Source organism: Homo sapiens, chromosome 1, assembly GCF_000001405.40.
Source record: "Homo sapiens chromosome 1, GRCh38.p14 Primary Assembly".
Taxonomy (NCBI): domain Eukaryota; kingdom Metazoa; phylum Chordata; class Mammalia; order Primates; family Hominidae; genus Homo; species Homo sapiens.
In genome coordinates, this window is record NC_000001.11 from 70,190,202 (window position 1) to 70,202,709 (window position 12,508).

Sequence of the window (12,508 nt, forward strand, 5' to 3'; positions counted from 1 at the left end):
GCAAAAATTGGTTATACCTTGCTGCCACAGATTATCATTTCAAAACCATCAGAGACTAAATGAAAAGGTATAGTCAAAGTTTCAGATTCAGGACACTTAAGTGCAGTTTTGGATGATTAATCAGATAAAATGGGGTTACAGAAGCAAAGCCAAGCCCCTGAAAGGCATGAGACTTATACTCACTGAAAAAATGAGCTAGCCAGTTGTAGTGCCTCAGGGCTATAATCCCTGCACTTTGGGAGGCTAAGGTGGGAGGATCACTTGAGGCCATGAGTTTGAGACCAGCCTAGGCATCAAAGAAAAACCATATCTCTTAAAAAAAAAAATCAGCTGGTGTGATGGCACACACCTGTAGTCCTACTACTTGGGAGCCTGAGGCAGGAGGATTGCCGGAGCACAGAACTTTGAAGTTCAGTAAGTAACTGTGATCACGTCATAGAACTCCAGCCTGGGAAACAGAGTGAGACCCTGTCTCTAAAAAAAAAAAAAAAAAAACTTAAAAAAAGAAAAAGAAAAAAACTGAGCTATCTACATTCATACTAAAATAAATTATAAGGTCCCTCTCTTACTCCTTATGTCTGATTATGTATTCTCTGCTTCTCTACTCTTCTACCACTGATTCTCCATTAGGTATTAACAACACAGAATATCAATCCACCTGTGTTTCTGTTGGTGGATGGAGGTTTACTTTTAAAGTGAAGCAAAATAAAATAATTTTACCATTCTTGACTGATTTGAGAGCCAAAGCACCATACAATTTATCATCATCATTGTTATTTTGGTATGTAGGTATGGATAATTAGTTAAGTAGGAAAGAGAAAAGGAGATCAGCCAAGCAACTGGCATGTGAATTTACTGACAAAAAAGCAGCCAACAGAAATGTGGTCACATATATATTTTACTAAAAATAAATGTGACTCTTGAAAAAAAAAAACTACAATGTGCCATATAGTATGAGTCACAAACAAAAAGCTCCAGATTTAAAAAGGCAAGATAAAACAATACAAAACACTAAGAAAGTATGTAGAAAAAGCTATGTGAGATGCACCATTCTACTCCTAAAGATGAGACATAGAACATTTGTGCATGCATTTTTTTCTAACATCTATACATAGGTATATTAAGGCCATTATACCTAAAAAGCAGTGTAATAACAAATGTCTTTTTTTGGATGGAGAAAGGTGGGGATAACAAGAAATTTATACACAACATAATAAAAATACCTGTTACCCATCAACTATACTGAGTATTAATGTTTTATTATTATTACTCAGATATTTTTATTAACAAACTTGTCTTTATGGGAACCATCAAGGGGCAGATACATGTTGATACTGTACTATTATTGAACATGTATCAATTTGCTTTTCCATAAACAATTACTTACTACTCATTCTTTTCCCCACTAATCATTTTTGAGGTATCCCAATTTCTTCCAGAGCTTACAGCATCAAGATTCATGTCACTGTTGCAACTGTCCCATAAGAACCACTAAAAAGCATATATAGTCTTAATTATTAAGAAATTCTGTGGAGCTATCCTACAAGTAGTTTATCAATATCCAAAATAGAAACTACCCACATAAAAATGAATGTCAATAGCATATAAATATCAAAAAAATTACTATGGAGTTGGATATTATAAAAAATTTCAAACATATACATAAATTTAAAGAGTAGCATAATGAAATCAGGTGGTGTGATGCCTCCAGCTTTGTTCTTTTTGCTTAGAATTGCCTTGGCTCTTTGGACTCTTTTTTGGTTCCACATGAATTTTAAAATAGTTTTTTTCTAGTCCTGTGAAGAATGTCATTGGTAGTTTGGTAGGAATAGCACTGAATCTGTAAGTTGCTTTGGGGAGTATGACCATTTTAATGATATTGATTATTCCTATCCATGAGCATAGGCTGTTTTTCCATTTGTTTGTGTCATCTCTGATTTCTTTGAGCAGTGTTTTGTAATTCTCATTGTAGAGATCTTTCACCTCCCTGGTTAGCTGTATTCTAGGTATTTTATTCTTTTTGCAGCATCTGTGAATGAGATTGTCTTCCTGATTTGGCCCTCTGCTTGGCTGTTGTTGGTTTATAGGAATGCTAGTGATTTTTGTACATTGATTTTGTATCCTGAAACTTTGCTGAAAAGGGAACCCTTAAACACTGTTGGTAGGAGTGTAAATCAGTTCAACCAGTTTAGACAGCAGGATGGCGATTCCTCAAAGAGGTAAAAACAGAACTACCATTTGACCCAGCAATCTTATCATTGGGTACATACCCAAAAGAATATAAGTCATTCTACCATAAGGACACATGCATGCAAATATTCATTGTAGCACTATTCACAATTGCAAAAACATGGAATCAACATAAATGCCCATCACTGACAGACTGGTTAAAGAAAATGTGGTACATATACATCATGGAATACTATGCAGCCATGAAAAAGAACAAGATCATGCCTTTTTCAGGAACATGGATGGAGCTGGAGGCTATTATCCTTAGCAAACTAACACAGAAGAAAACAAAATACTGTATGTTCTCACTTATAAGTGGGAGCTAAATGATGAGAACTCATGAACACAAAGAAAGGAACAACAGACACTGGGGTCCTCTTGAGGGTGGAAGGTGGGAGGAGGGAGAGGATCAGAAAAAAATAACTAATGGGTATGAGGCTTAGTACCTGGGTGACAAAGTAATCTGTATAACGAACCCCTCTGACACAAGTTCATCTATATAACAAACCTACACACGTACCCTTGAACCTAAAATAAATGTTTAAAAAAAAACAGTATAATGGAATAAAACTCAATGTATCCATTGTCTAGTTTTAATAATTATCAGCACATGTCTAGTGTTGCTTCATCTATAACCCCATCCCACAATGATCTAAGCTACAATCTTAGGAACCCAGAAAAAAGAATTAATTAAATCCAAAGAAAGCAGAAGCAAGGAAATAAAAGGTGGAAATCAATGAGAGAGAAACAAACAGAGAAAAAGCAATAAAAAATACTTATTTAAAAAGACTAATAAATTGATAAACCCTTAGCTAGACAGATGAAGAAAAAAAAGAAACAAATTATCAAAATCAGGAATCAAAGTGAGAATGTCATAGATCCCACAGATGTTAAAAGGATAAGGGTATATTATGAACAACTTTATGCCAACAAATCCAACAACTTGGATGAAATGGATAAATCCCTAGAATAGAAAAAAAAAAAGTACAACCACAATAGAAAGTAGCCTTGCATCTATTAAAGAAATTGAATTAGCTACTTAAAAGTCCCCACAAAGAAAATTCCAGGCAGACATTTTCACTGGTGAATTCTACCAGACATTTAGAGTAAAAATAATACTAATTCTACATAAACTCTTTCAAAACATAGAGAAAAGAACAGTTCCCAATTCATCTTATAAGGCCAGTCTTACTCTGATGCCAAAAGCAGATAAATACATTAAAAGAGAAAATAAAACAAAAACTACAGGCCAATGTATCTAATGATTATAGACCCAAATTCCTGAACAAATTTTGCAACTCTATATAAAAAGGATAACATATCATGATCCAGTGCGAGTTATCTTAGGACTGCAAGGCTGGTTTAACATTTGAAAATTAATCAATAAAAGCTACCATATTAACAGAAAAATGAGAAATACTATGTGATTGTTGAGATACAAAAAAAGCATCTGACAAAATTCAACAATAAAAACTCAGAAAACTAGGAATCAAAGGGAACTCCTTCAACCTTACAAAGGGCATCTGTGAAAAACCTAAAACTAACACCATACTTAATGGTGGAAGACGCAGTGCTTTCTCTTTAAAAGAGTATACAAGGCAAGGATGCCCATTCTCACTACTTTAATATTTTAATAGAGGTCTTGACCAATGCAGTAAGACAAAAAGAAGAAAAAGAAATAAATAAAAGAAACAAAAGGCATTCAGATTGGACAAGAAGTAAAACTGTCCCAATTAACAGACACTATGATCATCTATGTACAAAGTGCTAAGGAATCTACAAAAAAATTATATGCAATCAATGAGTTTAGAACAGTCACAAAATTCAAGCTCAATATAGAAAAATCAACTATGTTTCTATGTATTAGCAATCAAATAAAAAAATGTTTAAATGTTAAAAGATTTACAATACAAGACATCCGAAACCATGAAATAGTATTAAATGTACAAAATATGTACAAGATCTGTATATGAAAATACAAAACATTGCTGTGAAAACTTGAAGGTCTAGATAATAAAGAAATGTAACATAAGACAGCTTGGAAGACTCCATATTACAAAGATGTCGCTTCTCCCCAAGTGACTTATAGATTCAGCACAATCCTAATAAAAATCCCAGAAAGCTTTTCTGTAGAAATTAACAAGCCAATTCTAAAATGTGTATTGAAATGCAAAAGAACTAAATTAGGTCAAAAAATTTTGAAATAAAAGAACAAAACAGGAGGCTTTATTCAGCACAATCCTAATAAAAATCCCAGAAAGCTTTTCTGTAGAAATTAACAAGCCAATTCTAAAATGTGTATTGAAATGCAAAAGAACTAAATTAGGTCAAACAATTTTGAAATAAAAGAACAAAACAGGAGGCTTTATAGTATTTGATTCCAAGTCTGACCATGAAGCTACATTTGTCAAGATAGTGTAGTATTAGCATAAGGATAAACACATAGGTCAATGGAAAAAGAGTTCAGAAAAAATTCCATACAATAAAATATTGAAAATTGATTTTCAACAAAGGTGCCAATATAATTTAATAAAAAAGGAATCATGTTTTCAACAAATGGTACTGGAATAACTATAAAATAAACTATAAAAATGAACCTCAACCTTTACCTTGTGACACACTCAAAAATTAACTCCAAATGGACCACGGACTTATATGTAAATGATGAAACTAAAAAATTCTAAAAGAAACAGAGGAAAAAATTTTCACAGCCTTCAGATGGGCAAAAAATGTCTTGGGACAGAAAAAGTTCATCATAAAAGAAAAACAATTGATAAACTAGATTTCATAAAAATTTATAACTTACATGTTTCTAAAGCTACCATTAATAAAATAAGCTAAACTGGGAGAAAATATTAGACAGATACTGATATAGATATCTGAGACGGAATTGTATCTCAAATATATACAAAGTCGTTACCCAAGAATAAAAACCCATTTAAAAAAAAAAAAAGACAAAAGTTGGAACAAACACTTAACAGAAGATATATAAATGGCTAAAAGGCAGTAGAAAAGATGCTAAACATCATTAGTTTTAAAGGACATGCAAATTAAAACCACAAAAAAATATGCCAACACAGCCACAAGAATAGTTAATATTTAAAAGACTGAATACAAAGTGCTGGTAATGAGGTGGAGGAACTGAATCTCTCATATGTTGCTAGTGGGAAACAGTTTGGTGAATTCTTATAATGTTAAATAAATACTTTTTGGGTTTTTTTGAGACAGGGTCTCACTTTCTCACCCAAGCTGGAGAGCAGTGGCGCAGTCCTGGCTCACTGCAACCTCCGCCTCCCGGGTTCAAGGGATTCTCTGCCTCAGCCTCCCGAGCAGCAGCTGGACTTACAGGCATGTGCCACCATGCCTGGCTAATTTTTGTATTTTTAGTAGAGGCGGGGTTTCGCCATGTTGGCCAGGCTGGTCTCGAACTCCTGGCCTCAAGTGATCCACCTGCCTCGGCCTCCCAAAGTGCTGGGAGTACAGGCGTGAGCCACCACGCCAGGACCTATACTTACTACTATACAATACAGCAATTCCATTGTCAGGTATGGATTCAACAGAAATGGTATGTCTACACAAAGACTTGTACATGAGGCACAGAGATCCATCATCTTATCTCACCACTGTCCAAGACACAGACACACCTTCCATTTGTAAGACCTACGAAATGTTTCTTTCTAAGAAAAAAAAAAAAGACTATACAAGAAAGCTTATAGCAATTTTATTCATAACAGCCAAAAACTGGAAACCACTCAAATGTCCATCAACAGACTAATGGATAAATAAATTGAATTGTATACACAAATGGACTATTATTCAGCAATTTAAAAAACTGCTGGCTGGGCGTGGTGGCTCATGCCCATAATTGCAGCACTTTGGGAGACCATAGCAGGAGGATCATTTGAGCCCAGAAGTTTGAGACCAACCTGGGAAAAAGAGCAAGACTTCGTCTCTATTAAAAACAAAAAAATTAGCCAGGCATGGTGGCATACACCATGAGTCCCAGATACTTGGGAAACTGAAGCAGAAGGATCACTTGAGACCAGAAGTTTGAAGTTGCAGTGAGCTATGACTGTGCCACTGCATGCTAGCCTGGGCAACAGAGGGAGACACTGTCTCAAGAAAGAAAAAAAAAGAACAACTGATGTAAACAACATGGATGAACCTCAAAAACATGATTCTAAACAAAAGAAGCCCTAAGCGAAAAAAAAAATTGCAAATGTATTATTTCATTTACATGCAATTTTAAAAGAACTAAAATTAATCTACATTGACAAAAAGCAGATCCGTAGTTATGTGGAGCCAATAGCAGGATTGACAGCAAAGGGGCACAAGTAAACTTTTCAAGATGTTGGAAATGTTCTATATCTTGATTGTAGTACTGGTTACATGATGGTATATATTTGTCAAAAGTCATTAAACTGTACACTTAAAATGGATGCAACATACTCTTTGTAAATGATACTTCAATAAAGTTAACCCCAAAAAAGAATAATTTTAAAATATAGGTGATGTAACACATCAAGGCAATTCTATCGGAAAAATATACACATATAACATATATCACAGGGTAGATACAATATCCTTAAGCAGCATGGCTCAACAGAACTTTCTACAATGACGTAAATGCCCTACGTTGGCACTATTCAATAGGATAGCTACTAGCCACATATGGCTACTGGGCACTTGCAATGTGGTTAAAGTAACTGATGAACTTGATTTTTAATTTTATTTAATTTTGATTATTTAAAAGTTAAAAAGCCAACATGAGTACAGGCTTCCACAATGGACAACATGGTCCTTATAGATACTGGGGGGCGGCGGGGGGGAGGAAGATGTATAGATGTATTTTTTTATTTTATTTTATTTTTTTTTGAGAGCCTGTCACCCAGGCTGGAGTACAGTGGTGTGATCATAACTCACTGCAGCCTCGAACTCATGGCTTCAGGAGATCCTCCTGCCTCCGTCTTCCAAGTAGCTAGAACTATGAGGACTACAGGCATGTGCCACCACATCCAGCTTATTTTTTGTAGAGACAGGGTCTCATTATGTTGCCCAGATTGGTCTCAAACTCCTGGTCTCAAGTGATCCTCCCACCTTGGCCTCCCAAAGTGCTGGGATTATAATCATGGGCAATCACACCTGGCCCCCCCAACCCCCGGCTTTTTTTTTTTTTTTAAGCAAACTGTCTTACTCTTTTTTCCACTGGTAACAGCTAAATATAGAAATGAGGACTCACAAATGGGTTGATCACAGAGAACTATCTAGTTTGGGGAGGACATTTATATGATATGGGTGGATAAAGAGACAGAGAAGAAATAAAAAACATGCTTAAAATGGTGTTTGCACAGAAGGATAAAAGAATGTGGCTGGGTGCAGTGGCTCATGCCTGTAATCCCAGCACTTTGAGAGGTCAAGGCAGGTGGATCACCTGAGGTCAGGAGTTTGAGACCAGCCTGACCAACATGGTAAAACCCCATCTCTACTAAAAATACAAATTTTTGTATTTTTAGTAGAGACGAAGTTTTGCCTTGTTGCCCAGACTGGTCTTGAACTCCCAGGCTCAAGTGATCCGCCTGCTTCCACCTCCCAAAGTGTTGGTATTAAAGGTGTGAGCCACAGCACCTGACCCCGTGTCACACTTTTTATTCTGTCCCAACAAACTATACATATTGAATAGGGCAAATTCTCATTACCCTAAAATAGTAGGTTTTCTTCATGATTAGGTGCCCTAGACCAAATTACTTAACTACACAAATAAAAGCTAACCAAACTGCTCTCTTCAAGATAAGGCAGGATAGCCTTACACCCATATTTCCCTTTCAAATAATTGGTTTCCAAGCTAATTTAACTGGCTTATTTAATGAATTATCCTCTTAATTTGCCTTTCAGATCAACAGTGCAGTTTCCATTAGAATTTACAGTATTCTTTTGTTCCAAACTCTGGCACCTTTTATTTTTCCTCAGTTTTAGATAATCATCCAATAACATTCTTGCACTACTGTTCTACCATGGTCATGCAACTGGAAAGCAACGATCAACACCTCCAACTCCATCTTCATTTTATCTAGTCCGACGAAAAAGAGCTGCAATATTGAACCAAACTGACAACATATTCTCATGTTGCTGCTCATAAAAAGAGCTGTCACTTACATGTACAGTATTTTTCTTTGAAGTTGGTTATTAACAATTATTCCTATTTGAGAATATCTTTCTAAATAAGTTATAGAACTGACACTCAGAATGATTACTTAAAAATTGCGAACAAAATTTGAATGTTTAAATATGAATACATATTAATTAATAGTAGTCATAAGATGGACTATTATACAGCCACTAAAAATAATAAGATTTTTCAAGTGACAAGGAAAATGTACAAATAGAAGCCAGAAAAACAGGAGTCAGTACAATTCTAAATTTGTTAAAAATAAAAAATAGGGCCAGGCACAACAGTTCATGCCTGTAATCCCAGCACTTTGGGAGGGTGAGTTGGACAGGTCGCTTGAGCTCAGGAGATCAAGACCAGCCTGGGTAACATAGCAAGACCTCATCTCTACAAAAAATATAAAAATTGGCCAGGCATGGTGGCACATCCCTGTAGTCTCAGACACTCAGGGAGCTGAGGTGGGAAAATCACTTTTGAGATAAGGAAGTCAAGGCTGCAGTGAGCCGTGATCTCACCACTGCATTCCAGCCTGGGCAACAGAGTGAGATCCTGTCTCAATCAATAAATAAACTAAATTAGATAAAAAAATAAAAAATAGCAGTCAAATTATACATAGTCTCACACACACACACACACACACACACACACACACACACAGTATTAGAAGAAAAACCTCCACAACATTAACAGTGACTAACTCTGGTTGGCTTCTTCACTTTTTATGCTTTTCTCTATAGATTCTAATCTTTCTACAGCAGACCTGCTTTTATGAATACGAAAATAATAAATGGTATTTTTCAAAAAAGAACTAGAGCCTACAAAAACAAAGTACAGTTTATCCTCGCACAATATGGGTTTGAATTGCACAGGTTCACTTATATATGGATTTTCTGCTGCCTCTGCCACCCGTGAGAAAGCAAGACCATCCCCTCCTTTTCCTCCTCCTCCTCAGCCTACTCAATGTGAAGATGAGAATGAAGACCTTTATGATGATCCACTCCACTTGATGAATAGTAAATATATTTTCTCTTCCTTATGATTTTCTTAATAACATTTTCTTTTCTCTAGCTTACTATTGTAAGAACGTAGTATATAATACATATAATATACAAATATATGTTAATTGACTGTTTATGTTATCAGTAAGGCTTCTAGTCAACAGTAAGCTATTAGTAGTTAAGTTTTGGGGGAGTCAAAAGTTATACATGGATTTTTGACTGCACAAGGGAGTCAGCCCCACAACCCCTGAATTATTTAAGGGTCAACTGTATACCTAAACACCCCAAAGAGTAACCAGGTTTCAGTTATGGGTAAAAGTTAATACCCTCAAGACTTACTCTACCCAAATAAGTTTAGGTAGAGTAAACCTCTTTATCACTGTACTGGACTGGGTTAATAGTCTAGTTAACAATCCTATCAGGTTAATAAAATCTCTCACTGCCCTTGTACGGCTTCCACTAAGAAAATTTCTATTTAAGGAGGCTACCATCTAAGAGCAAGAATCAACAGAATTTTAACTGTTTTTCATTATATATGTAAAAATTAAAGACTAAGTTTTGTTTTCCCAATGTAGAAATATCAGGAATGGGGTCAGGTACAGTGGCTCACACCCATAATCCCAGTACTTCGGGAGGCCAAGGCAGGAGGATTGTGGACAGAGGGAGTTTGAGACCAAGCTGGGCAATATAGCAAGACCCCATCTCTGCGAAAAATTTCAACATTAGCCGGGCACAGTGGTGCATGCCTGTGGTCCTAGCTATTCAGGAGGCTGAGGCAGGAGATCACTGGAGCCCAGGGGTTCAAGGTCTAATAAACTATCATGCCACTGTACTCTAGCCCGGTCAACAGAATGAGACCCTACCTCTAAAAAAAAAAGAAGGAACAGAAATGAATCTACTTTACAAATATGACTATGTAAATGTGAAGAGAGAGAGAAAGAATTAAAGTATAACATGAAAATTTAAATTATTATTTGTTTAACAAGTACAATTCTTAATAATAAAGCTTATGTTAAACACTTATGAGACTATGAATTGTTTGAAGGTGTCATTAATCTTTATTTCCTCTAGAACTATATCTGGAAGAAACATAGTAGATAAACAATAAATGCTATTTGAATAAGTATCTGTGTAACTCCCTATAGCATACAAAATAGTTTCATATTTATCTCATACATTTCCCATAAAATGTCTCATATATGTGTATAGAGAGAGAGAAAAAAAGAGAGCGTGCAAGAGAGAGAGCAAGGGAGAAAGCGCAATCTGAAAGAAGCCATGTTTTAAAGTATCTTTTGGCCTGGGCATGGTGGCTCATGCCTGTAATCCAAGCACTTTGGGAGACTGAGGTGGGAGGATCACTTGAGGCCAGGGGTTCGAGACCAGCTTGGACAATACAGTGAGATCCAGTCTCTACAAAAAATAAAATAGCTGGGTTTGGTGGCACACACCTGTAGTTCTAGCTACTTGACAGGCTGAGGAGGGAAGATGGCTTGAGCCCAGGAGTTTGAGGCTGCACTGAGCCATGACTGAGCCACTGCACTCCAGCCTGGGTGACACAGCAAGACCCTGTCTCAAAAAAACAAAAAACAACTAAATATATTTTGAATGTAAATCATAATTTGAGGTACTAATATTTTGGGGTAAAAACAAAAGATAATAACACTTTTTTTAGATTAACATATACTAAAAATACAACATGCAAGGAATCAGTACAAGGGACAAGTTAGTAAGTTTATATGAAAAGAAAATAATAATCACTTTCTGCAATTACTTTTGACTGGGTCAAAAAACACCTCTGCCACATTTATCTAGACTTCATATGACACAAAATTTAAGAATCGCAACCAAAAAGCCACCAGCCTATTTACATATGTCACTTACTCATTGAACAATCAGTTGCTGAGCAGAAACAAGTGGCATAAAAAGACAACTATGATCAACAACAAGGAAACGAGCCCAATGAAAAAACGTGCAAAAGTTCTTAATAGACACCTCACCAAAGAGATATACAGATGGCAAATGAGCATATGAAAAGACACTCAACATCATATGTCATTAGGAAATACTAAGTTAAAACTATAAGATAACACAATACAGGCCGGGCGTGGGGGCTCACGCCTGTAATCCCAACACTTTGGGAGGCCGAGGTGGGTGGATCACCTGAGGTCAGCAGTTCAAGACCAGCCTGACCAACATGGAGAAACCCCGTCTCTACTAAAAATACAAAAAAAAATTAGCCAGGCATGACAGCACATCCCTGTAATCCCAGCTACTCAGGAGGCTGAGACGGGAGAATTGCTTGAACCTGGGAGGCAGAGGTTGCGGTGAGCTGAGATCACGCCATTGCACTCCAGCCTGGGCAACAAGAGCAAAACTCCGTCTCAAAAATAAAATAAAATAAAATAAAATAACGAAATACACCCACTAAAATGGCCAAAATCCAAAAACCTGATCATACCAAATGCTGATAAGAATGTGGAGCAGAGAACTTTCATTTATTACTTGTGGAAATATGAAATGGTACACATTAGTAGTCTGACAGTTTCTTACAGGGCTCAACATAGTCTCTTATATGATCCAGTGATCATGCTCCTAGGCTCTTATCCAAATGAGTTGAACATATATCCAGACAAAAACCTGAACATAAATGTTTACAGCTGCTTTATTCATAACTGCCAAAAACTGGAAGTATCCAAGATGTCCTTCAACATGTGAATGAACAAAATGGTACATTCATACAATTGAATATTACTCAGCAATAAAAAAAAAAGATTAAGTCATCAAAAATACATGGATGAACCTTAAATGCATACTGATTAGTTAAAAAATCAGTTTGAAAACGTTATGCACTGGTATGATTCAAATTAAGAGACATTCTGGGAAAGGTAAAACTATAGAAACAGGAAAAAGATCACTGGTTGCCCACAGTTCAGGGGAAGATAGGTAAGGAATGAATGGGTAGAGCACACAGGATTTTTAGGGAAGTGAAATTATGCTGTATGATACTCTAATGGTGGATATACGACATGCATTTGTCAATTTCATAGACCTGTACAACAGTAAGAATGAGCCCTAACAAACCTATGAACTCCAGTTAATAATAATGTATCAATAT

General features: G+C 36.1%; 1 protein-coding gene across 3 annotated transcripts in view; it reads right to left on the reverse strand.

Annotated features, from left to right (window-relative positions):
• Positions 1-12,508, reverse strand: part of LRRC40 (leucine rich repeat containing 40) — a 60,775-nt gene that overhangs the window by 45,397 nt on the left and 2,870 nt on the right. The gene's annotated exons all lie outside the window — the stretch shown is intronic.